The 24,300-nt window shown below is 46.8% G+C and overlaps 1 protein-coding gene and 1 long non-coding RNA gene across 9 annotated transcripts; one reads left to right on the plus strand and one right to left on the minus strand.

The window, feature by feature from the left end:
- The first annotated feature begins 1,831 nt into the window (after positions 1 to 1,831).
- Positions 1,832 to 7,186, plus strand: HCG25 (HLA complex group 25). Its single transcript, NR_044997.1, has 5 exons — positions 1,832 to 1,951; positions 2,086 to 2,185; positions 2,912 to 3,007; positions 3,809 to 4,002; positions 6,994 to 7,186. It is a non-coding gene; the product is annotated as an HLA complex group 25 (long non-coding RNA).
- VPS52 (VPS52 subunit of GARP complex) lies at positions 2,568 to 24,261 on the minus strand. 8 transcript variants are annotated; one of them, NM_001289175.1, is made up of 20 exons: positions 24,201 to 24,261; positions 22,495 to 22,579; positions 22,295 to 22,347; positions 22,040 to 22,115; positions 21,786 to 21,853; positions 21,310 to 21,485; positions 20,795 to 20,945; positions 20,404 to 20,504; positions 20,161 to 20,293; positions 19,978 to 20,035; positions 19,484 to 19,617; positions 18,853 to 19,008; positions 17,078 to 17,196; positions 16,670 to 16,793; positions 16,304 to 16,399; positions 16,068 to 16,175; positions 15,780 to 15,845; positions 4,156 to 4,267; positions 3,814 to 3,932; positions 2,568 to 3,283 (listed from the first exon to the last, which is right to left on the minus strand). In NM_001289175.1, the coding sequence occupies exons 6-20, from the start codon at positions 21,480 to 21,482 to the stop codon at positions 3,137 to 3,139; spliced, it is 1,797 nt and encodes a 598-aa protein (NP_001276104.1). In that variant the 5' UTR covers positions 21,483 to 21,485; positions 21,786 to 21,853; positions 22,040 to 22,115; positions 22,295 to 22,347; positions 22,495 to 22,579; positions 24,201 to 24,261; the 3' UTR covers positions 2,568 to 3,136. The 8 variants fall into 8 exon arrangements, with proteins under 8 accessions (NP_001276104.1, XP_011513101.1, XP_011513100.1 ...); NM_022553.6 differs by lacking the exon at positions 24,201 to 24,261 and adding an exon at positions 23,882 to 24,172 and having other exon boundaries at positions 2,574 to 3,283; XM_011514799.2 differs by lacking the exon at positions 22,295 to 22,347.
- Positions 24,262 to 24,300: the final 39 nt, after the last annotated feature.

Genomic DNA, 24,300 nt, shown 5'->3' on the forward strand with positions numbered 1-24,300 from the left:
GCTGCTTGATATCTTAAAATCAGAAAAGCCACCCATCTTAAGTGGAGGGTGGGTGGGTCCATATTTACAGGAATGGAAGAAAGGAGGATGTTCCCTCTCTTTTGTCCACGTTCAGCAGCTCTGAAATTAATGCCAAGGCGAGCAAACGCCCGCCCCCCACCCCCTGCCGCCCTCGCCTTATGCCGAGACTTTGCTGTTGAACACGAAGTAAACGTTTCCCAGAAAGCCCAGTTTAAGAAACAATTCAGGGCGAGGTGAGGGCACAAAGGTAGAGAAATAAGGGGAAATGATATTTCTTTAAAGAACAGAGATCCCTGAATAGCACCGGGGGCCGTTACAGCCCATGAGGACATCTCCGAGTCCTTCTATATGACACTAGGGACCCCCGTGCCATATACAGACACTGTTCTCAGAGATTAGGAGGGGGAAAGAGGATATTGCCACAGTTCTGTCCTTCGAAATGACTCCAGATGCTTCTGAGTCTGTGAGGCCCCTGTGTCCGTCATCAGCAAAACAAGTGAGGGAGAAGTTTGAGGAGTGATGACCCTAGCAGTTATGGGTTTAAGCCTGGGAATCTTAAGCCACAGAGCAGAGGATTTGGGGGCTGAAGAAAAAGACCCTCCGCAGCTTCAGCGCGAAGAGGGCGGCGGGGACCGGGGTGGTGGGGGTGGAACCTCGCCGCCTTCCGAAGCAGGAGTAAGCTGCAGAGGCTGCGCGGGGGTTTGAGCGGAGCGAGAACAGCTCCTTCCCTTGATCATGCTGCCCTCCGGAGGTCAGTTTAGGTATCGCCGCTCCCTTTCACGCTGTTTTGTCTCTTCACCGTCTGTTCTGGATCATCCTGTCCAGAGAGACCGTTGGGTCAGAGGGTTCCTGTGGACCCCTGGGGCGAGCTTAATGTCCCCGAAAACTGCGTGCTCCAGTATCACTTGAATGCCCACCGGGTTCCGGAATCACGAGTCTCCAGAGCTGTCCCTTCGCCCCACGGCTCACATTCCAGGTCTGCCCCTCAGTGACTTCTGCAACAACACGCGCTTCTCGATCAGCTCTGAGGATTTGGGTTCTGCGACGGACAGGGGAAGGAAAGAAGGAAGGCTGTGAAGAACCGTGGTGCCTGCCTGCACAGCCCTCCTCGCGTGCGAGCATTAGTTGGCTAAAGTCGCCTGTCTCGACAGTCTCCCCTGCGGGGTATCTGGGGACCCTTTCTTTGGGAATCCACGCTCTTTGTCAGAGTAGCCAATGCCTCTCCTGTCCAAAATCTCATACCCTTGGCCCTTCTCCCGTCCTCGCGCTGAGGCTGGAGTCAGGTCAAATGTCAGAACATCTGGATGTCCCAAGAGTGACACCTGGGAGTGGGTGGGCAAGAAACCAGTAGCGGGAAGGGAAAGTGGAGGAGCAGAGGATTCCCGGGGCCGGCGTCTGGGGTGAGCTCGCGGCCCCTCAGAGCCTGGCACATCGCCGCCTGGCATCCGGCAGGCGTGAGGGAACGCATAGCGCAGCGAGTCAGGCGGGGTAAACCCGGAGCAACGCGGAGGCGGTGATCTGGGCAAGGGCGAGGTCAGTTAAGGACGCAGTTCTGGCCCCGCCCTCAAGGCACGCCTGGCCAATCAGGAATCGCTGATTCACCAAGCCTCTCCTCCTGCGCTCGCCCTCTTCTGCACTTCGGTCTCAGGCGCAAACACGTTCAAAGTCGCTAGGCCAAAGCGCTGAGATACGGTTTCCCAAGCCAATTAGAGAGCGGCTCTCGGATATGGGGCGGAACCCTGAAAAGGCGAGAGCTGAGATGCCGCTCCGTTCTGCCTTACCACGCCGCCCCCCAGCGTCCGCCAATTAGGAGAGCCCGGAGCCGGATCCACTCTCAGCCTCAGGAAGCAGCAGCCTCCGCTCCGCGGCGGGTGTGCTCGGCAGTCACAGACCCACTCAGGACACCTCCCGTTGCCGACGGGCTAGACCTGCATCCGAAGGGCCTAAGCGGGGAGGAACCGCTTTCCACCACTCTCCAGGGACCTGGGGAGGGAATGTTTAGGCCGTAGGGGTGGAGGACACAGGAAACGTAACATTTTTCCTTAACTGCGCCTCTCTTCTTAGGCCTTAAAGGGGTCCCCGTGTCTCTCCAGTCTAGAGCCTAAGTTCAAACGAGGCGTATAGGCGAGGACAGCAGGAAGGCTCCAAGTCAAACAAACGGATGGTACGAATTTCGCCTGGTCTAGCCCTGCCCCAACGGTGTGGGTGTGGGTTGGGTGCTGCAGCCCCCGAGCAAGGGGCTGTCACAGCCACAACCAGAGGAGCTATGGAGCTGCTACGGAGGAGGGATTCCAGAGTCAGCTTGGGCTTGTCCCAAGGGAGCCCTTGGGACAGTGTCTGGGGCTGCGCGGCCTGGTTCTCATCCCTTGCAGCATCTGCTATTTTAGCCAGGGGCCACCTTCCTCCAATGGCCTGGGAGTAGCTAGAGGTTAGAGGTTACACCCACCAGAAGGGATGTAAGCCCAGGAAGTAGTCAGAAAGGAAAGGTCATTCTAGAGATGGGGCCACCTGAAAAACCTTCAGGAGGAAGGAGAAAGGAAATGGGATAAGTGTCATGTCATACTAAATATTTATTTTCTGCAGACTGACTTCGGAGTAATTCTTGAGCCAGGAGGGGAGAGGTTAGTGTTCAAATTGCTGAGATCTTAGGTCAAAAAGCTACAGAAAAGAAATCACTTTGAAAAACACAATGACTCAGAGGCAGTCACCCCTTGCCAGCAATTCCAAGAGCTGAGGAGGCTTCATGCCTCAGGACATGGTGACTAGTTGAGTGAACCAGAGATTGAGGCAGTGGTTTTTACAGGGGAAGAAACAAGCCTTGGGTGTATGGGAGCAGGAAAGGAGGGTGACAGACTGGAGAAATGATAAAGGCCATTTTGGAAGCCCACAGGGAAGTGGTCTTGGGAAACCTGAAGACACTGGGATATTCAGAAGGCCAAGGGGATCCAGCTTATCCTGTTGGGCAAGGTGCTGGGAGTGAAGGCAGGTAAGCCATGTCAAGGGCCTGGGAAGCAAGGGGAAAACTGGAAGGGGTACCCCAGGTGAAGAAGGGTATGGAATGGGGTGCAGAAGTCCATGGAGATGACCGGCAGATCTCAGGGCGGTTTCTGGCACATCAGAAGTTGGGCTTATGCTTCTTGAGCTCCACCATAAGGTGGTGAATGTTGATGAGCTCAGCCCGGGCAGGGAGGGCTCGGAGCTGCGGCTGGGACAGCACCCGGTGGAAGCGATGATAGAGCTGGATCAGCTGGGTCAGCGCTCCCTGGTCAAAGAAAGTCATTGAGGGATCAAACCGTAAAATGGTGCTAATAGTGATGATTAAGAATCAGGTTAGGCGGCCAGGCGCAGTGGCTCACACTTGTAATCCCAGCACTGTGGGAGGCCATGGCGGGCAGATCACGAGGTCAGGAATTCGAGACCAGCCTGGCCAACACAGTGAAACCCCATCTCTACTACAAATACGAAAATTAGCTGGTTGTGGTGGCAGGCACCTGTAATCCCAGCTACTTGGGAGGCTGAGGCAGGAAAATCACTTGAACCTGGGAGGCAGAGGTTGCAGTGAGCCGAGACTGTGCCACTGCACTCCAGCCTGGACAACAGAGCTAGACTCTGTCTCAAAAAAAAAACAAAACAAACAAAAAAAAAAGAATCAGGTTAGGGCTCATACAGAACTTTGGGCACAGCTAGTAACTGAAGACCAAGGGTCACTTAGATGATGCTGAGCCCAGCAAAAAGATGGGGAAAATAATTAATGATGGGGGATCTGAGTGGGGCCTGGGACTTGCAGGTCACCTGAATGATACTGGTGCCATTTCTGAAGTTGGTGAAACTCCGCATTACATCCTGACTCAGAGATTCCACTGATGATTTCCAGGAACTACCAAAGCCACGGATCAGCTGAGTTACCCGGGCTAATAGCAGGAGGAAACAGTGTCAGAGAGGGATCTGGCTGATCTTCAACTCCACTAAGTTCTCCCCAAGGTATAGCCATCCTTATCATCAAACCCTCTTTTCTGGTATTCTCTCAATCCAGTCTTTCATACTCTATTCCCCCACCATGTAATCTGCATCCTTTCATTTTTCTTTTCCACTTCCCTTACCACTGATCCCATCATTACCATATTTTCCTCATACCTTCTTCCCCTCGAAGTCGCTCAGCCTGTCCACGCTCAATCAAAGCCTCAGCCTCCTTCACAAATGCCACTAAACCCCCAAAAGGGGGAGACAGCAACTCTTCAATGAATTCCTGGAAAGACACAAACACATATACACAGGTGTCCTGGTGTCAGCAGATTTGCCCAATTCTGGCATCATGACTAATGTAGATCCATCTGAATGGCATCTTTCAGCTGCTGCAAAAGTTAAGGAAAATCCTCTATGGAGAAAAATATCCTCAATCCTAATTTTGGCCCATACAGTTCCCCTGGTTAAGATCAAACAATGAACTCAAAGATCACTAGACACAAAAGAAGGGCAGCTACCAAGAGAGTCAGCAGACACAATAAGCAATAGCTGCTGACCTTAAGAACTATCCGATACGGATAGCAGTTGTACTGTGTGCAATGTCTAAAGTTAAGGATAGGCCGGGCACAGTGGCTCACGCCTGTAATCCCAGCACTTTGGGAGGCTGAGGTGGGCAGATCACCTGAGGTCAGGAGTTCAAGACCAGCCTGGCCAACATGATGAAACCCCATCTCTACTAAAAATACAAAAATTAGCTGGGCATGATGGTGGATGCCTATAATCCCAGCTACTCGGGAGACTGAGGCAAGAGAATCACTTGAACTTGGGAGGCGGAGGTTGCAGTGAGCAGAGATCATGCCACTGCACTCCAGCCTGGATGACAGAGCAAGACTCCGTCTCAAAAAAAAAAAAAAAAAAAAAGGATGTAAAAATGACCAATTAGTAAGAACTATGAGGAATGAACAGACTTGAAAAAAGGAAATTTTTTTAGATATGAAAAGCCAGTTTTAGAAAGTCAACAGATTAACAAGAATTATACAATGAATTAGAATTTATAACTGAAGAAAGGACTCAGAATGTAGCACAGACAGAAGATGGAAAATTTTGAGATAGTAGGAGATACAGAAATCTAATTAATGTATCTAGGCACTGAAATTGATGGCTACTAACATCACAAAGAGAGCCAAGAAGACATTATGTGCTTCCTGATGGAAATACATACCACTACCTCTCAAATATCCCTGTAGAAAAAAAAAAACTAATTTAAATCTGACCAAGCCTTTCCATCTAATTACACACTTATGAGAAATACACCAGACAGAGGAAGTTTGGCCACACCATGGAATGCAGTCAGCAAAATCTAAACTGTACATCATTCTAGATGACAAATGACTCAATAACTCAGTTTCTTCCAAAAATAAATTGCAGAGGAGATGGAAGGGAAATCTATAGACTAAAAAAAGACACATATATGGACTTTATATGGATCCTGATTTGAACCATAAAAATCATTTATGAAGGCCAGGCACAGTGGCTCATGCCTGTAATCCCAGCATTTTGGGAGGCTGAGGCGGGTAGATCACCTGAGGTCAGGAGTTTGAGACCAGCCTGGCCAACATGGTGAAATCCTGTCTCTACTAAAAATACAAAAATTAGCTGGGCGTGGTGGTGGGTGTCTATAATCCCAGCTACTCAGGAGACTGAGGCAGGAGAATTGCTTGAACCCGGGAGGCAGATGTTGGAGTGTGCCAAGATCGGGCCATTGCACTCCAGCCTGGAGGCAACAAGAGTGAAACTGTGTCTCAAAAAAAAAAAAAAAAAAATCACTTATGAAATAACTGGGAAAATCTGAATAGTTATTTTAGATAAGATAATTTTTTTAAGTGTGATAATGTATTGTAGTTTTTAAAACCATCTGTTACCAGGTGTGGTGGCACACACCTGTAGTCCCAGTTACTTAGGAGGCTGAGGTGGGAGGATCACTTGAGCCCAGGAGTTCGAGGCTGCAGGGAGTTATATCATGCTACTACACTCCAGCCTGGGCACTACAGCAAGGCCCTATCTCAAAAATAATTTTCTTAATAAAAATAACATTCTGATACAGATGAAGTGATAATATTCATCTGTATATGTATAAGATTTAATTCAAAGTAACTGGGGGACACAGAAGGAGGATAAGCAATAGGTGTTGGTATAGATGAAACAAAACTGTCCGTGAACTGCTATACACCGAATATCACTGATGATGCCTGGGGGTTCACTATGCTTTTCTAATAGCATAGTGAAATTTCCCATAATAAAATGTTAATTTTTGTTTAATGTAAAAGGGAGATTCAAACAAAAAAACTCATAAAAGCAAACAACCCAGACAGAAAGATCTGGTAAGAAGAAAGTGAAATTATTATTCCATTTAAAAATAAATTATTAATACTAAAATTAGCCAGGTGTGGTGGTGCATGCCTGTAACCCCAGCTACTCAGGGAGACTGAAGCAGAAGAATCACTTGAACCGGGAGGCAGAGGTTGTAGTGAGCCAAGATCATGTCACTGCACTCCAGCCTGGGCGACAGAGCAGCAACTTGTCTCAGTAAATAAATAAATAAATAAATAAATAAAAATTGTATCTTTTCTATTCTTCCCTCAAAATATTCACTTATATCCACTGAGGGTGTCAAATAACTAATATGCTGCAAGGAAGGATCTTTCTATAATCAAGGCATCTTTGTGATGTGATTTTGGACAGAGATTAAATAACCAAATTCAACCTATTACAGTTGCCTAAATGCAGTCTCACACACACATATACAAACAATAATGTAGCAGTGTACGGTGGGGCACAGGGAGTAGACTTGCCAAAGAAAAGTTGAACTAACAGTGATGACCCCTGCTAGGCAGGAGCCATAAATTATATAATGTGTTGTAAGCATGATATATACACCTGATTTTGAAGACTTCATCTTAGAATAAATTTTAAGTATATCTTTTTTTTCTTTTTTTTTTTCGGAAACAGGGTCTTGCTCCATCACCCACGCTGGAGTGCAGTGGCACAATCACAGCTCACTACAACCTCAACTTTCCTGGCTCAGTGATTATCCCACCTCAGCCTCCTGAGTAGCTGGGACTAACAGGCATGTGCCAACATGTCCCACTCATTTTTTTTTTATTTTTTGTAGAGATGGGGTTTCACCATGTTGTCCAGGCTGGTCTCAAACTCCTGGGCTCAAGCGATCCTCCCTGCCTTGGCCTGTGCTGGGATTACAGGTGTGAGCCACCGTGCTGGCCTCAGTACTATTTTTTATTGATTATATGTTGAAATAATAATATTTTGGATGTAGTGGTTTAAAAAATTATTTCATCTGTTTCTCCTTACTTTTTAATGTAGCTTCTAGAAAATTTAAAATTATTTAAGTGGCTCACATTTGTGGCATGCATTATATTCCTATAGGAGTACTGGTCTGGACTTAGATGAACTTTAAGCTTTCTATAACGCAAAAGAGAACACCTTGATAGCAGAGGAGTGACCAGAGGAAACAGTGCACTGGGCTTTAACAATCTTTCCTACGTAGTATGAAGCAGCAGCTGACCAAAAAGGACCAGAAGCATTGATGGCAGCTGGCGAGTCTCTATACCTGGCAAATCCAGTGACAAATCCCAGCTGCTCTCAGCAGAAACAACTGGTTTAAGTGCATCTTTGTGGGTGCCTTAATCTCCTGCAATGATCCCGCCTCAGCCTCCCAAGCAGCTAGAACTACAAATGCATGCCACTACGCCTGGCTTTTTTTTTTTTTTTTTTTTTTTTTTAAAGAAATGGGGTCTTAGCCGGGCATGGTGGCTAACACCTGTAATCCCAGCACTTTGGGAGGCCAAGGCGGGCAGATGACGAGGTCAGATCAAGACCATCCTGGCTAACATGGTGAAACCCCCCGTCTCTACTAAAAATACAAAATACAAAAAAAATACCGGGCATGGTGCTGGGCACCTGTAGTCTCAGCTACTCGGGAGGCTGAGGCAGGAAGAATGGCATGAACCCGGGAGGCGGAGCTTGCAGTGAGCTGAGATTGCACCACTGCACCACTCCAGCCTGGGAGACAGAGGGAGACTCTGTCTAAAAAAAAAAAAAAAAAAAAGAAATGGAGTCTCACTATGTTGCCCAGGCAGATCCCCTCAAACTCTCAAACTCCTGGGCTCAAGAGATTCTCCCATCTCAGCATCCCAAAGTGCTGGGATTACAGGCATGAGCCACAGCACCAGCAACAATTCTTTCAAAATCAGGAATATGAAAAGGGTTCTCACTATCACCTTTCTGTTCAACTTCTAAACATCATCCTGGGAGTGTTAGCCAGTAGAATAAGAAATCAAAAACATAAGATGTTAAAGACAAAAAACTAGAAAAGATTTATTTATTCCTAGTAGAACTAAACATACGTATTATACCCACCTAAAAATATGGCAAACGACTTACAGTGTCTTTGTGCTGAAAATTTAAAAAGGTTATCAAAAGACATTAAAAGACTCTCTTAAAAATTGGAGGAGGAGGCCAGGTGGAGTGGCTCACATCTGTAATCCCAGTTTAGTGAGACACTACAAAAAATTAAATTTTTAAATTTTGTATTCTCTACAGAAAAAAAAAAGCCAAGTGTGGTGCTGTGTGCCTCTAGTCCTAGCTACTCGGGAGGCTGAGACAAGAGAAGCACTTGAACCCAGGAATTCAAGGCTGCAGTGAGCTATGATTGTGCCACTGCACTCCAACCTGAGTGACAGAGCAAAACCTGTCTCAAAAAAAAAAAAAAAAAAAAAAAAAAAAAAAAAAAAAAAAGGATAGGGAGCCCATGATCATGATCATGGATAGGAAGTTTCAATATCATAAAGTATCAATTCTTCCAAATTAGTCTATAGACAATGTAATTCTAATCAAAATCCTTAAAGACTTTTTAAAATGTGAAAACTTTTCGAGACCAGCCTAGCCAACACGGTGAAACCCCATCTCTACTAAAAATACAAAAATTAGCTGGGTGTGGTGGCACATGCCTGTAATCCTAGCTACTCAGGAGGCTGAGGCAGGAGAATCACTTGAACCCAGGAGGCAGAGGTTGCAGTGCGCTGAGATTGTGGCCCTGCACTCCAGCCTGGGTGACAAGAGTGAGACTCTGTCTAAAAAAAAAAAAAAAGAAAAGAAAAAAAAAGAAAAGAAAAAGATTTTCTATAAATGGTTCTGGGCCAACCATCCACATAAAAAAAAGAAATAGATCCCTACCTCACATCACACACAAAAATTAATTCCAAGTAAATTTGAGACTTAAAGGTAACAAAAAAATTCTCTCTATATATTTGTTTATTCTTTAATTTTATTATTATTTTTTGAGACAGGGTCTCACTCTGTTGCCCAGGCTGGAGTGCAGCAGCACAAACAGGGCTCACTGCAGCCTCGACCTCCCAGGCTCAAGTGATCCTCCCACCTCAGCTACCTGAGTAGCAGAGACTACAGGTGTGTGCCACTATGCTTGGCTAATATATTTTTTTAATTTTTTGTAGAGATGAGGTCTCACTATACTGCCTAGGCTGGTCTCAAACTCCTGGCTTCAAGCAATCTTCCTGCCTTGGCCTCCCAAAGTGCTGGGATTACAGGCTTTAGCCACTGCACCTGGCCAAAATTCTACAATATTAAGAAGAAAATGTAGCATAATATTTTTCTGGCCTTGGAGTAATAAGGAATTTCATTTTTTTTTTTTTTAAACGGAGTCTCACTCTATCACCAGTCTGGAGTGCAGTGGCACGATCTTGGCTCACTGCATCCTCCACCTCCCTGGTTCAAGTGATTCTCCTGCCTCAGCCTCATGAGTAGCTAGGACTACAGGTACGCATCACCACGCCCAGCTAATTTTTTTGTATTTTTAGTAGAGACGAGGTTTCACCATGTTGGCCAGGATGGTCTCGATCCCGTGACCTCGTAATCCACCCGCCTCAGCCTCCCAAAGTACTGGGATTACAGGCGTGAGCCACCACACCCAGCCCAGGAATTTCTTAAACAGGACAAAAATAGTCAGGCGTGGTAGATGGTGGCTGTAAGCCCAGCACTTTGGGAGGCTGATGCGGGAGGATCACTTGAGGCCAGGAGTTTGAGACCAGCCTGGGCAACATAGTGAGACTCTGTCTCTACAAAACAACAACAACAACAAAAATTAGCTGGGCATATGGCACACACCTGTAGTCCTAGTTACTTGGGAGGCTGAGGGAGGAGGGTTGCCTGAGCCCAGGAGGTTGAGGCTACAGTGAGCCATGATCACACTACTGCATTCCAGCTTGGGTGACAGAGCAAGACTGTTACTAAAAACAAAGACATAAAAATGAAGGACAGATAAATTCAATCATATTAAAATTACAAATTTCTTTAATCAAAAAGCAACATTAAAAAAACAAAGGCTGGACGCGGTGGCTCATGCCTGTAATCCCAGCATTTTGGGAGGCTGAGGCGGATGGATCACCTGAGGTCAGGCGTTCAAGACTGGCCTGGCCAACATGGCAAAACCCATCTCTACTAAATATACAAAAATTAGCCGGGCGTGGTAGCACACGCCTGTAATCCCAGCTACTCAGGAGGCTGAGAAAGGATAAGTGCTTGAACCCGGGAGGCAGAGGTGCAGTGAGCTGAGATCACACCATTGCACTCCAGCCTCGGCAACATGAGTGAAACTCCATCTCAAAAAAAAAAAAAAAAAGGTGCAAGGATTTCTTGAGCCCAGGAGCCTGGGCAACACAGAAAGACCCTCATCTCACCAAAAAAAAAAAAAAAAGTAAAAAGATACATACTAAAAGATAATCTGTAACCTACGTATAATCAACAAGATTAGTATGTAGATGATGCAAAGAACTCTTATAAATAAAAAATACTAGCAGACTTATTTTTTTCTTTATTTTTTGAGAGAGTCACGCTCTGTAACTGAGGCTGGAGTGCAGTGGCATAATCTTGGCTCACTGCAACCTCCGCCTCCCAGGTTCAGCGCCCCTGAGGAGCTGGGACTACAGGCATGCGCCACTATGCCTGGTTAATTTTTGTACTTCTAGTAGAGACAGGGTTCTGCCATGCTGGCCAGGCTGGTCTTGAATTACTGGCCTCAACTGATCCATCCGCCTCAGCCTCCCAAAGTGCTGGGATTACAGGTGTACACCCTGCCCAGCCACAAGCCGATTTTTAAAAGGTCAAATGCTATGACAGCCATTTTACAGGAAAAAAAAAAATTGTATAGTTGTGGTGACGCTCCTCACACAGAGCACCAGCTTCAGGGAGTCTGTCCCTTGCAGACCCCTGACCCGGCAACGGATGAATGAGGTACACTGACACACAGATACTCTGCTTTGCCAGTCCAGCTGAGTGTGTCCAGGCTGTTTACAGACTCCCTGAAGAGTACTGTAAACAGTTGCAATGGCGGCCCTGACCAGCTAGTGAGACTCGCATTTATTCAGTAAAGATTAATTGACAAAGACTTGAGTCAACACCACTACGGGGTAACTGACATTGTGGACTTCCTGAGTAGAAAGCAGTTAAGCACCTGCGGTACATCAAAGATTAGTCTTAAGACCATATGAGTAAACAAGCTACCTAGATAACTTCCCCACATTCCTTTGTTATTACTCTAATTTATTTAACTAAAGGTAAAGATCAGGTCGCCTTCAACCATATCTATTACTGAAGTTATGCAAACTCTTAGGCCTTCCAAGAGGGTTTGTGGCTATCATCACTAATATTTTTCCCACCAGCCTGACTGAACCCCTACATATAGTTACTAAACATTTGAAATGATGCTCAATGTTATTAGTAATCAGAAAATTACAAATAAAACCCACTGAAATACAGGTTGAGTATCCCTAATCCAATAATCTGAAATCCAAAATGCTCCAAAATCCGGAAGTTTTTGAGTATCAACATGATGCTCAAAGGTAATGCTCTTTGGAGCATTTCAGATTTCAGATTTTCAGACTACAGATGCTAACCAGTAAAAATAATGCAAGGAATCCAAAATCCGAAAAAAATCAAAATCTGAAACATTTCTGATCCCGAGCATCTTTAGCAGCATCCTTGGTCTCTAAAAAAAAAAAGAAAAAAAATGGCAAAGACCTGATAATACCACATGTTGGAGAAAATGTGGCTCAGTAGGAATTCTTACATATTGCTGGTGAGAAGGAACTACTTAGGAAAACAATTTATCATTGTCTCATAAAGACTAATACTGCATATCTTATTAGCAGCAAGACTACTGTCCTAGGTTTATACCCAAGAGAAACTTTTGATGAAGATAATCAATATCTATGTGTGCTAAAAGACATGATTATTCATAAAACAATGCTCACAGAAGCAAGAAACTGGAAACAATCCATTTATAGAATATGTTTAATCACACAAGTCATATATGGCAGTGAAAAGGAATGAGCTATAGCCATATGCAATAACATGACAATATTAGAAAAATTATGCATGAAAAAAATCCTGTGATTCTGGGGTTTTTTGTTTTGTTTTGCTGTTTGAGACAGGGTCTTGCTGTGTTGCCAAGGGTAGACTACAATGTCATGATCATGGCTCGCTGTAATCTCGAACTCCTGGATTTCAAAGTGGTCCTCTCGCCTTTGTCTCCCAAATAGCTAGAACTACAGGTGCATACCACCATGCCTGGCTTTTTTTTTTTTCTTTTTTGCCTTGCTGTTTTCTTGCCTTGTCTCATCAGTGTTTATATCATTAAAAAATAAAACAACCCAGTGCAGTGGCTGTTTTGTTTTTTAATGATATAAACACTCACAAACACACCACACAATCCAAGTAGCAGCAGCTTGGCAAAAGTCACCATCAAACTATGAAATCCTACTGAAACCATCCCTGTGCTTCTCGTGCACAGGTACTCGTTGATCTAAATGTTGCATTTATTGTGTTCTTGCTTTTTTCCCCCTTTTTTTGTGTGTGTTCTTGCTTTTAAAAGTAAAGCTATATATATGCCAAAACAAAAATTCGTTGTTTTCCAGTGTCATTAAAAACAGAATCTAGGCCGGGTGCAGTGACTCATGCCTATAATCCCAGCACTTTGGGAGGCTGAGGCGGGTGAATCACCTGAGGTCAGGAGTTTTAAGACCAGCTGGGCCAACATGGTGAAACCCCATCTCTACTAAAAATACAAAAATTAGCTGGACATGGTGGCACGTGCCTGCAGTCCCAGCTACTCAGAGGCTGAGGCAGGAGAATCACTTAACCTGGGAGGCGGACGTTGCAGTGAGCTGACATCGTATCGCTGCACTCCAGTGTGGGAGTCAGAGTGAGACTCCGTCTTTAAAAAAAAAAAAGAATCATAAGATTTTTCACTTGAGGGCAGTAATTCAAGACCAGCCCAGGCAACAGTTGTCTTTTGTAAAGACAACTGTCTTTACAAAATTAAAAAATTAGCTGGCACACACCTACAGTAAACTCATTTTTGGTAAAAGTGCCAAGAACATACACTGGGGAAAAGATAGTCTCTTGGTCAGGCACGGTAGCTCACGCCTGTAATCCCAGCACTTGGGAGGCCCAGGTGGGAGGATCACTTGAAGTCAGGAGTTCAAGACAAGCCTGGCTAACATGGTGAAATCCCGTCTCTACTAAAAACACAAAAACTAGCCCGGCGTGGTGGCAGGCATCAGTAATCCCAACTATTCAGGAGGCTGAGGCAGGAGAATCACTTGAACCAAGGAGGCAGAGGTTGCAGTGAGCCAATACTGCACCACTGCACTCCAGCCTAGGTGACAGAGCAAGACTCCGTCTGAAAAAAAAAAAAAGAGAGATAGTCTCTTCAATAATGGTGCTGGGAAAACTGGCTATCCATTACACAGAAGAATGAAACTATACCCCTATCTCTCGCCACATATGAAAACCAAATCAAATGGATTAAAGACTTAAATCTAAGACCAAATTATGAAACTACTACAAGAAAACACTGGGGAAAATCTCCAAGACACGGGTCTGGGCAAAAATTTCTTGAGCCATACCCCACAAGCACAGGCAACCAAAGCAAAAATGGCCAAATGGGATCACGTCAAGTTACAAAGCTTCTGCACAGCTGGGCACGGTGGCTCACGCCTGTAATCCCAGCACTTTGGGAGACAGAGCTGGGCAGATCACCTGAGGTCAGGAGTTTGAGACCAGCCTGACCAACATGGTGAAACCCCATCTCTACTAAAAATACAAAATTAGCCAGGCATGGTGGCACATGCCTGTAATCACAGCTACTCAGGAGGCTGAGGCAGGAAAATTGCTTGAACCTGGGAGGCGGAGGTTGCGGTGAGCTGAGATCGCACCATCGCACTCCAGCCTGGACAACAAGAACAAAACTCCATCTCAAAAAAAAAAAAAAAAAAAAAAAAAGCTTCTGCACAGCTAAAGAAACAATAAAGTGAAGAGACAAAGAATATTTGCACATCCCATCTGCCAAGGGATTAATAACCAGAATATATAAGGGGCTCAAACAACTCTACATGACAGTCTAATAATCCTATTAAAAAATGGGCAAAAGATTTGAATAGATATTTTTCAAAAGAATACAAATGGCAAACAGACATATATGAAAAGGGGCTCACCATCACTATTATCAGAGAAATACAAATCAAAACTACAATGAGATCTCATCTCACTCCAGTCAGAATGGCTTTTATCCAAAAGACAGGCAATAGCAATGCTGGCAAGGATGTGGAGAAAAGGGAACCCTTATACACTGTTGGTGGGAATGTAGATTAGTACAAACACTTTGGAGAACAGTTTGAAGGTTGCTCAAAAAACTAAAAGTAGAGCTACCATATGATTCAGCAATCCCACTGCTGGGTATATACCCAAAAGAAAGGAAATCAGTACATTGAAGAGATATTTGCACTCCCATGTTTGTTGCAGTATTGTTCACAATAGCTAAGATTTGGAAGCAACCTAAGTGTCCATCAACAGATGAATGGGTAAAGAAAATGTGGGATATATACACAATGGAGTACTACTCAGCCATAAAAAAGAATGAGACTCAGTCATTTGCAACAACATGCATAGAATTGGAAATTATTATATTAAGTGAAATAAGCCAGGCACAGAAAGACAAACGTCATGTGTTCTCACTGATTCGTGGAATCTAAAAATCAAAACAATTGAACTCATGTACTCATGTACGAAGAGAGTAGAAGGATGGCTACCAGAGGCTGGGAAGGCTAGTGGAAGGCTGGGGAGAAGGTGGGGATGATTAATGGGTACAAACAAAAATAGGAAGAATAAATAAGACCTACTATTTGACAGCACAACAGGGTGACTATAGTCAATTATAACTTAATTGTACATTTTAAAATAACTTAGTGTAATCGGATTGTTTATAACACAAAGGATAAATGCTTGAGAGGATAGATAAAGAAAAAAATAAAATTCATTCTAAAAATAAAAAATTAGCTAGGCATGGTGGCTCGCACCTGTGGTCCCAGCTACCCAGGGGGCTAAGGTAGAAGGATCACTTAAGCCCAGGCTGTTGAGGCTGCAGTGAGCCATGTTCATGCCACTGCACTCCAGCCTGGGTGACAGAGTGACACTTTGCCTCAAAAAAAAAAAAAAAAAAAAACCAAAGACAAAATAAAATAAAATAGACCAATAATGACAGTATGTTGTGAATCAAGAGTTACAGTAATTCCGCATACCTGAGATCCATTATGCCACTCCCTACACACACACACACACACACACACACACACAGAGAGAGAGAGAGAGAGAGCTGAAAACAGCACAGAAGGCTGTCTCTTCCCTTTTCCCCACACCCCTACCTGTGTCCGAGCATTGAGCAGCTGCTGGAAGCTCTCAACCTCTTTGCTGTCATCTGCAGCCCGCTCCTAAGGGAAGACAAAGGGAAATGTCTAGTTTGGGGAAAGCAGTCCTTCACTTCAGGATGTCCCCTTCATTCCACACTTATTGTACTAAGCTGGACACTGTGCCAGACTCCAAGAGTAAAACACTGAACAAGACAGGCATCATCTCTGCCCTCACAGAGCTAACAGCAGTGGGGGAAACCGAATTTTCTGGGTAGGAAGGCAAGGAGAAGGAGCACCTATTACCATCAGCACACCCAGCATCATGTCATAGTTGTTGATCAGAAACACAAGCTGCTCCTTCCTTGAGGAGAACTCAGCTGCCACTCGGAGGACAAAATTCTCCACCTCCACCTGAAAAGGCAGAGAGGAAGAGGTGACACCAGAAAGCAAGGTCATCTGGGCCCCATCTGGCTCCTCCTCAGACTCCACCCACTGGAAGCAGCCCTGCTGCTGGGAAGTGTCTCCTGTCCGACCCTCACCTGCAGCTGTCCCAGCAATTGCATGGTCCGTTCATTAGGAATTGTCTGGTTGATACTGACAAGAGCGGAGGAGAACTCTGCATAGCGGCGTGTGATCTAGGAGAGAGTGGGAAGGAAAATCACACCCACCTCCTGGCCCAACCAACACAACCTCCCAACTTCCTTAGCCAACCCACCTCCATGTGATGTGACTCTACCTTCAGTCCCTCCTACCCACAGTGCACCACTCACCATGAGTTTCACCACCCTCCCAGAACACCTGCTCATAGCGTGGCCCATGACACAACTGTGACCTTGGCCAACCCCCACAATGATGCTTAGAGCCCTGCCTTTCAAGAACCCTTTGTTACCCTTGCCCTCCCTCACATAGTGGGGCCGAGTATCCAACCCCCCTAGGCGCTGGGGGTCAGTGCTTCGGACGCTCTGAACATTCATCTCCAGGATCAGTTCAAACCGTGGCCATAGCAAGGCAAGCACCTGTTCCCAGTACCTGTGGGCTTAATCAGAATCAGAGGTCAGCCAGCAAGGAATGTTGGAGGGGGATGGGAGGGAGTGGGGCATCATTCAGTTTAATGGTCAATAGCTAGTTGTGGGGGTTGGGGGGCAGTGGTTGGAGAAAGGTGAGTCAAAAAGCAGCACTACTGCCTCCGGAGCAAATGAATGGGAATAAAGGTTGATGATACCAGGTCAGTAGGAGTCTAAGGTCAGGGCAGAGTCATGCAAGACCAAGAGAGTTCGTGGCCTGTTGGGCATCAAGGACCAGAATTCAGTGACCTGTCCAGGGCAGGAACATCCCTCTTTGCTGCAATGTTACGGAACCGGAGAACAATGTGGATACAGAGAAAAACAGCAATGGCATCGTAGCAGTCAGCTAGATAAGAATCCAGGTGTTTCTGTGTGATTGGGGAACAAACAGAGGATTAAAAGAGAATGTCAGTTTGTTGTCCTCAGTGACTATGAACAAACGCATTTGTTTCTTTGGGGATGATGCACTGGACAGGACAGAAGGGAGAGACGTAAAATGGAACTGCCCCCTGCTTTCCTGTCCAGGATCTATGTTTTTGGCTTTTTTTTTGTTTTTTGAGATAGAGTTTCACTCTTGCCACCCAAGCTGGAATGCAGTGGCACAATCTCGGCTCACTGCAACCTCCGCCTGCCTCCCAGGTTCAAGCAATTCTCCTGCCTCAGCCTCCTGAGTAGCTGGAATTATAGGCGCCTGCCACCACGCCCGACTAATTTTTGTATTTTAGTAGAGATGGGGTTTCATCATGTTGGTCAAGCTGGTCTCGAACTCCTGACCTCAGGCGATCCGCCCACCTCAGCCTCCTAAAGTGCTGGGATTACAGGTGTGAGCCACTGCACCCGGTGTTTTCGGCTTTAGAGACAGGTTGTTTTGTCACCTAGGCTGGATTGTAATGGTACAATCATAGTTCACTGCAGCCTCAAACATCTGGGCTCAAGTGATGTTCCCACCTCAGCCTGCCAAGCAACTGGGACCATGGGTGTGTACCACCATGCCTGGTTAAGTTTATTTTTAAATTTTTTGTAGAGACAAGGTCTTGCCGCATTGCCCAGGCTGGTCTCGAACTCCTGGCCTCAAGCAACCTTCCTGCCTTGGTCTCCCAAAGTACTGGGATTGCAGGCATAAGCCACTGCACCTGGCCACACCAGGATCTATGATCACAAGCCTATCACAGCAGAGTTCAGGGCTGAGCTTGGGTCAGGGGTTTGAGCACCAAGATTTGGGGGACCCTCAGTTTTCACGTGCTATTGCCTGATTGTGGGTCAGCAGTAGGGGTAGTCTCAGGGACCCTACGCACTGAGGATTTCATGGGGGAGTAACACTGTGACAAGTCTAAGTAACAAGTTTTTTTTTTGAGATGGAGTCTCGCTCTGTCACCCAGGCTGGAGTGCAATGGCGCAATCTTGGCTCACTGCAATCTCCTCCTCCCAGGTTCAAGCAATCCTCCTGCCTCAGCCTCCCGAGTAGCTGGGATTACAGGCCGCGCACACCTGGCTAATTTTTGTACTGTTAGTAGAGACAGGGTTTCATCATGTTGGTCAGGCTGGTCTCAAACTCCTGACCTTGTGATCCTCCCGCCTCAGCCTCCCAAAGTGCTGGGATTACAGGCGTAAGCCACTGCACCTGGCTATTTTTTTTTTTTTTTTTTTTTGAGACAGGTCTCACTCTGGAGTGCATGGCTCACTGCAGCCTTGACCTCCTGGGCTCAAGCAATCCTTCCACCTCAGCATCTTTAGTAGCTGTGACCACAGGCACACATCAACACACACCCGGCTAATTTTTCATTTTTTGTAGAGATGAGGTTGTTGCCCAGGCTGGTCTCAAACTCCTGAGCTCAGGCAATCCTACTGCCTTGGACTCCCAAAGTGCTGGGATTATGGGTGTGCACTACCACGCCCAGCCAAGGCTTAGACATTTTAGAATGAGGCGATCCTGATTTCAGTTCTACCAGAGTCATGACCCCACTATGCTGCTGATGAAGACTGGGGACAAAGGTGTTGAATGGTACAGGAAACAGGAGTCTTACCAGGGTCATGCTGAGTGTACGGCCCATGACAGCATGGAACAGGTCGTGTGCAGCTGGGCCAGACACAACAAAAAATTCACAGATGAAAAGGTATTCGCGGCAGGAATTGTCTAGGAGGGCGTAGTGCTGGCTGCGGAAGAGGGCCTCAAATGGATACTGGGAGAGGAGGAGTAAAGAAGAAAAACAGAAGGGATGGACCCCAACACTGACTTCCCATGGATATGGCTGGAAAATCAGTAAACCTGAGTAATAAGAGCTAGGCAGACCCTTCGCATCTATCTAGGTCCGGGCTGTCTAAGAGCAAGCTGAATGGGCACTGAAAAGGTGGGGGAACATAGGGGTACAAAAAGGGCCTACACCCACCTGCTGTTGCTACTCCTGCATCCACCTCAACACCTGCCTCTGACTGTCATTCCCCTCATCCAGTCTCTCCCCTCTGCATGCCCTTAAGTCAATGGTTCCCAGCTCTTTTCACATCACAGCAGGCTGGAGTGATTGGAGAAGGCCACTCCCAAGTCTAAGGGGATTAAGACAGGGCCTGCAGGTTGGGAAGCTCTGCCCTGAGGTCTGGCCTTCCCTCCCCACCGTGCTCAGAGCCTCTTTCGTGACTGAAGCTTGTTCCTCCTCATACCCTCTGCTCTCCGCGCTGCGCTGTGTGAGGCACCAGGATGGGGGCCTCAAGTTCAGTGGGGGAGATGACAGAGCCGCGGGTTCCTAGGGTGAAAATGGTGTTCCTGCTGCGGAGCGATGGCTTTGAGAAGAATCGTAAGATGGGTCAGAGTCAGGGAAAACAATGAGACCATAACTGGGCCCAAAGACTCACTATCTGTGGGGACCCCAGACAGGCAGACGTGGCCTAGCCAGCCCTCTTTCCCAGTACTAGGGCCCCACGTGCTGACATCTGTGAATGGGCTTCAGGGTGTCTCTCCCTCCCTTGCAATCATATGCAAAACTATGTGTCAAAATAATGTGTGCATCTTTCTGGGGAGGGAGGCTATAGCTTTCATCACATTCTAAAAGGTTTCAGTCCCATAGGAAAAGGTAAGGAGCAGTGCATTGGTGGCTGGAGTCGAAAGTCCTCCCACTCTCAAGGCCTGGCATGAGGGTTCCCCAGTACTAGGATATCTTTCTTTGCTGTATCTTCCACACCCATTAGATCATCTTTCTCAGCGACTTCCTCATACTAAGGAAAGAGAAAAGAGAACTGATAACCGTCTCTTCCCACAACACAATAAAATATTCCTTGCCCAGGGATGTCCCCTCCTCCCAGTCCATGTGCCCAGGAATACCTCTCCCTCCTGACCTTACCTGCACCTTCATGAGCCGCCCCAGGTAAGAGCGGTAGTAAGACAGGTAAATCTTGCTCAGCGTCTCCACATATTCATCCCTGATCTCCTTTGCTGTTGCTCGTTCATTGCCCAGCAGAAACTGATAGAAGAACCTAGGGGGTCAGGAACATGTCAGTCTACCTGTCTCCCAAGAAACCAGATGCCCACACTAGGCCGCTCAAAAACTCAAAGGCCATCCCATGCACTTCCTTGGGGTTGTGACCTGTACTTCAGCAGGGCCGTCTGGGGGATCTGATAGTTGGTCATGGGTTTCCTGAAGGAATAAATCTTCTGGAGGATAAACTCTCGGATCTTCGTCACTGCCTAGATGTGGGGAACCAAACACAGGGCATGAAGCTGCAACCCTTTTGCTGTATGAGAGGAACTGGGGGAAGCAACAAATGGTAAACATAGGCAGAAGGGTGGTGAATATCTCTTTGGTATTTCTCAAGATTTTCAGGGAAACCCAGAGAGACAAGAATGGGGCTGCCCAGAAAAGGCAGGGTGAAGTCCCTGGAGACAGGCTACAGTGAGCTCTGCCAAGGAAATCCATAGTGAAGATCTTGGGAAGGCTGCTTCCAGTAGCCTCCAGGGTATCCATCCCTACTTCCCACCTTGACCCGGAGCCGATCGAGCACGCCTCTGACATCTGCGCAGGCTGCTGTGCCTCTAGCTTCCTGCTCTCTGACTGCGGCTGCCTTGGCATCCAGCTCCTGTAGCTGCTCCAAGAACCTGGGCTCTGTCACTGGAGCCTCCAGAATTGCCCTGGTTAGCAGGGAGGGGTGGGATGAGTTACAAGGGAGACCCAGACATCCCTAAACCAGACCCAGACCACACTCCTTACCTCCAGCCCCTGTCATCTCTACCACCTTGCATTGTACCATATAGTCAGGACACATGTACAAAGTTTTCTATTCCTGGACCTCCCCACTATACACCTGATCTTACATCATTCTTAATCTTAATCTTTGATGCCTAATGCATACCTAAAGAAATGGTGGTTAACCTGGCTACTAATTTCTAAAAAGCACTTAACCTGGAGCCAGGAGACCCATATGGTAAATAGGGTGGGTCACCCCAGCCCATCCACCTGCTATGGACATTATAACCCTTCAAACTGGTAACTCACGTGACCAGAGCAGAAGGCACCACCAGACCATCAACAAGCTCCCCAAGTTTCCCCCGAACTGCCTGGCGATTTCGAAGTCGAATGTTCATGGCTCCTGACTGTTCCTGCAGTGTCCGGATCTCAGAGCTGATGGAGCTGAGGTCACTCTGAAAAGCTCCCAACATCTGCTCCATTCGCTGTAGGGAGGGTAGATGTTGCCGGAGTGCTATAGGGTTTGTAGGGGATAAGTGGGCCACCAAAGACTCTTTGTGAAGTCTTCAGTATTTATCAGTCCTTGAGGGTGGCAGATGATGAGACACCCCAGATTATCAGGAAATAACATTAAATATGGCAGTAATAACAAAAAAGGCTCCTGAAGTCATCTTGAAAATGACCCTAACCTGTCCCCATCTTGAGGCTGATGACCTAAAAATGGCACCAGAGTCCATGATCTGGTTCAGAGTAGCTATTAGGGGTCACAGGTCATGATTACTAACCTCCAGGACAGCATCACAGGCTGTGATCTGGTTGTGTAGAGATGCTATATTCTCACTCTCTTGAATATCTGATCCACAAAAAGTCAAGGGGCCTCATGGTGAAGATGGGAGATCCTCAGATTTGTAGTACCTCTCCAATTTCTCTTTGAAGTGATAGAAACCTCAGAGATGTTGACCCCAGCTGGGACATCTGTACCACACGCCACAAAATCCCCATGTCAATAGCACCACCCCTTCCCTCTGCTGGAGGATACAATCCCGAATGGATTTCTGTTCAATCTGCTGTAGCTCCAGCTCAACTTGCTTTGAATAGTGACGGAGATCTACACCCTGGGAGAACATAAAGATGACAGGTCAGAAGGAAGTCTCAGTAAAGGGACACTGTAACAGAATCAGTGAAGGACTAAAGGGTCAGATACCAGGCTGATACAACAAAAGCAAGAGACTGTTGTTTTTCCTTTTGGGGTAGAATAGATAGAAGGGCAGATTAGTACAGGGGAAAGCCTCACCGTTTTAAGAGCTTCCTTTACTAACTCATCCTCCAGATTTGCCTGAATGTGAACTGGAAATAGAAGTTTATCATAAGGGTCCAGCTCCACAGCTCCCTCTCCCCACATTGAGTATCTGCACACCAATCCCTACCTTATTCCTTCCAGCCCCCATGCCTCTCAGATTACAGGTACTGCACCCACCCCATGCCATCGCTTACCATCCACTTCATCCAGGATGAATTCATCAGAAGTGATATCCAACTCCCCAAGTTGCAGTGGTTCCTGGAGCCCAGGACCACCCGCCTGGAAAGGGATAAGTTAATGGGAGTAGGGTACGGTGAAAGACAGAAAGAAAAAATATAATTGGATATCCCCAGTCCTTCAAGTGAGAAGGAGCTGCTTTTACTGGGAGCCACAGGTACTGCTTTGAAAAATTCTAAGAGTCTCACGTTGTACCCACTCTCCTATTTTGTGCTGATGGGTAAGGAATACGACAAGGAGTGAGACGATCCAGTGAGACAGTGGAGGTAGCCCAGCATGGTGGTGGGCTCCTTGTAGTCCCAACTACTTAGAAGCTGAGACGGGAAGATTGTTTGAGGAGATCAGGAGTTCAAGGTCAACCTGGGTAACACAGGGAAACCCGTCTAAAGAAAACAAAAAAAGGTAAAAGACAAGACAGTGCAGTGGAGGCCGGACGCAGTGGCTCACGCCTGTAATCCCAGCACTTTGGGAGGCCGAGGTGGGAAGATCACGAGGTCAGGAGATCGAGACCATCCTGGCTAACACAGTGAAACCCCGTCTCTACTAAAAAATACAAAAAATTAGCCGGGCGCGGTGGCGGGCGCCTGTAGTCCCAGCTACTTGGGAGGTTGAGGCAGGAGAATGGCGTGAACCCGGAAGGTGGAGCTTGCAGTGAGCCAAGATCGCGCCACTGCACTCCAGCCTGGGCGACAGAGCAAGACTCCGTCTCAAAAAAAAAAAAAAAAAAAAAAAAGTGCAGTGGAGATGACCGAATGAGGAAAGCTAGGAATTGCAGAGGATAGAGCAGAACTTGCACTTAAATTTAAGACCCTCAGACTCCTGCCATCTTGGGTGTTCTATCACACCTCTGGGGAACCCCAGGCTTTCTAGAAATGTCAAAACACATAGTGTTTACCTGCATGCCAGGTGCAATCTTACACATATTCATCTAATCCTAACGACGATGTATACAATAGGTTCTATCTTCCTCACCTTAAAGGTGTGAGAAATGATGGCACAGAGAAGCTGGTTAACTTGCCCAAGGGCACACAGCGTGTAAGTGGCAGAGATAGAACTCAGGCAGTCTGGCTTCAGAGGCCATGTTCTTAACCTTTACACTATACTACTTCGTGACTCTACCCCAAAATGTGGAGTGAAGTTGAAATTTTGTGCCCCAGAACATGAGTTTCAGCCACTAGGGTCCCGCTCAGGGTCGGGTCTGATCACAGGGAAGGGTACGGGGAGCCAAACAGGTAATATCACGGGTAGCAGCCAAGTTCCCACCCTTGTGCCTAAACCCAGCTCAGGTCTTTCTGAAGCTAGGAGCACCGGAACTACGGAGGAGAAACAGCTCCGCGCTCTCACCAGCGGGCCCTCTTCCTCCTCCATATCTGAGGTCCCAGCCCGCAACACCAGTTCCCGGGCCGCAGCCGCCATGGTCGCAGCGGCGGCCATTCCCCGCAGCCTCACTTCCGGCAACTGTCAGTCCCGGCGAGTCCGTTCCCCGGAGTGGAGCTACAAGTCCCAAAGGGTCTTCCTCAGCGCGAAATCGTTCCCAGATATTTGAGTTAAGTTGTTTGACTCCAGCTGTCCCCTTTCAGCTCTAACCACTTCACCCAACTGCAAATGGAAATATGGAAGTCTGAAACACAAACTAGCCCCGGAACCTTCGCTGTTCTCTTACCTATGAACCTTACGAACTGTAAAGAAAGGCGCACCGGAAGTTGTGGTACCCAAGCCATACTCTCATAAATCCAGCCAGGTCGCGCTGAAACAGTTTCCGG

The sequence above is a fragment of the Homo sapiens genome, chromosome 6 (assembly GCF_000001405.40).
Source record: "Homo sapiens chromosome 6, GRCh38.p14 Primary Assembly".
In the NCBI taxonomy this organism is placed as follows: Eukaryota; Metazoa; Chordata; class Mammalia; order Primates; family Hominidae; genus Homo; species Homo sapiens.

Coding starts and splice junctions, on each gene's coding strand:
- VPS52 (NM_022553.6), bottom strand. CDS start 23,971: ATGGCCGCCGCTGCGACCATGGCGGCTGCGGCCCGGGAACTGGTGTTG. Junction 17,197..18,852: donor GTACACTCAGCATGACCCTG/GTAAGACTCCTG, acceptor CCAATCACACAG/AAACACCTGGATTCTTATCT. Junction 16,794..17,077: donor GATGTTCCTGCCCTGGACAG/GTCACTGAATTC, acceptor TTAAGCCCACAG/GTACTGGGAACAGGTGCTTG.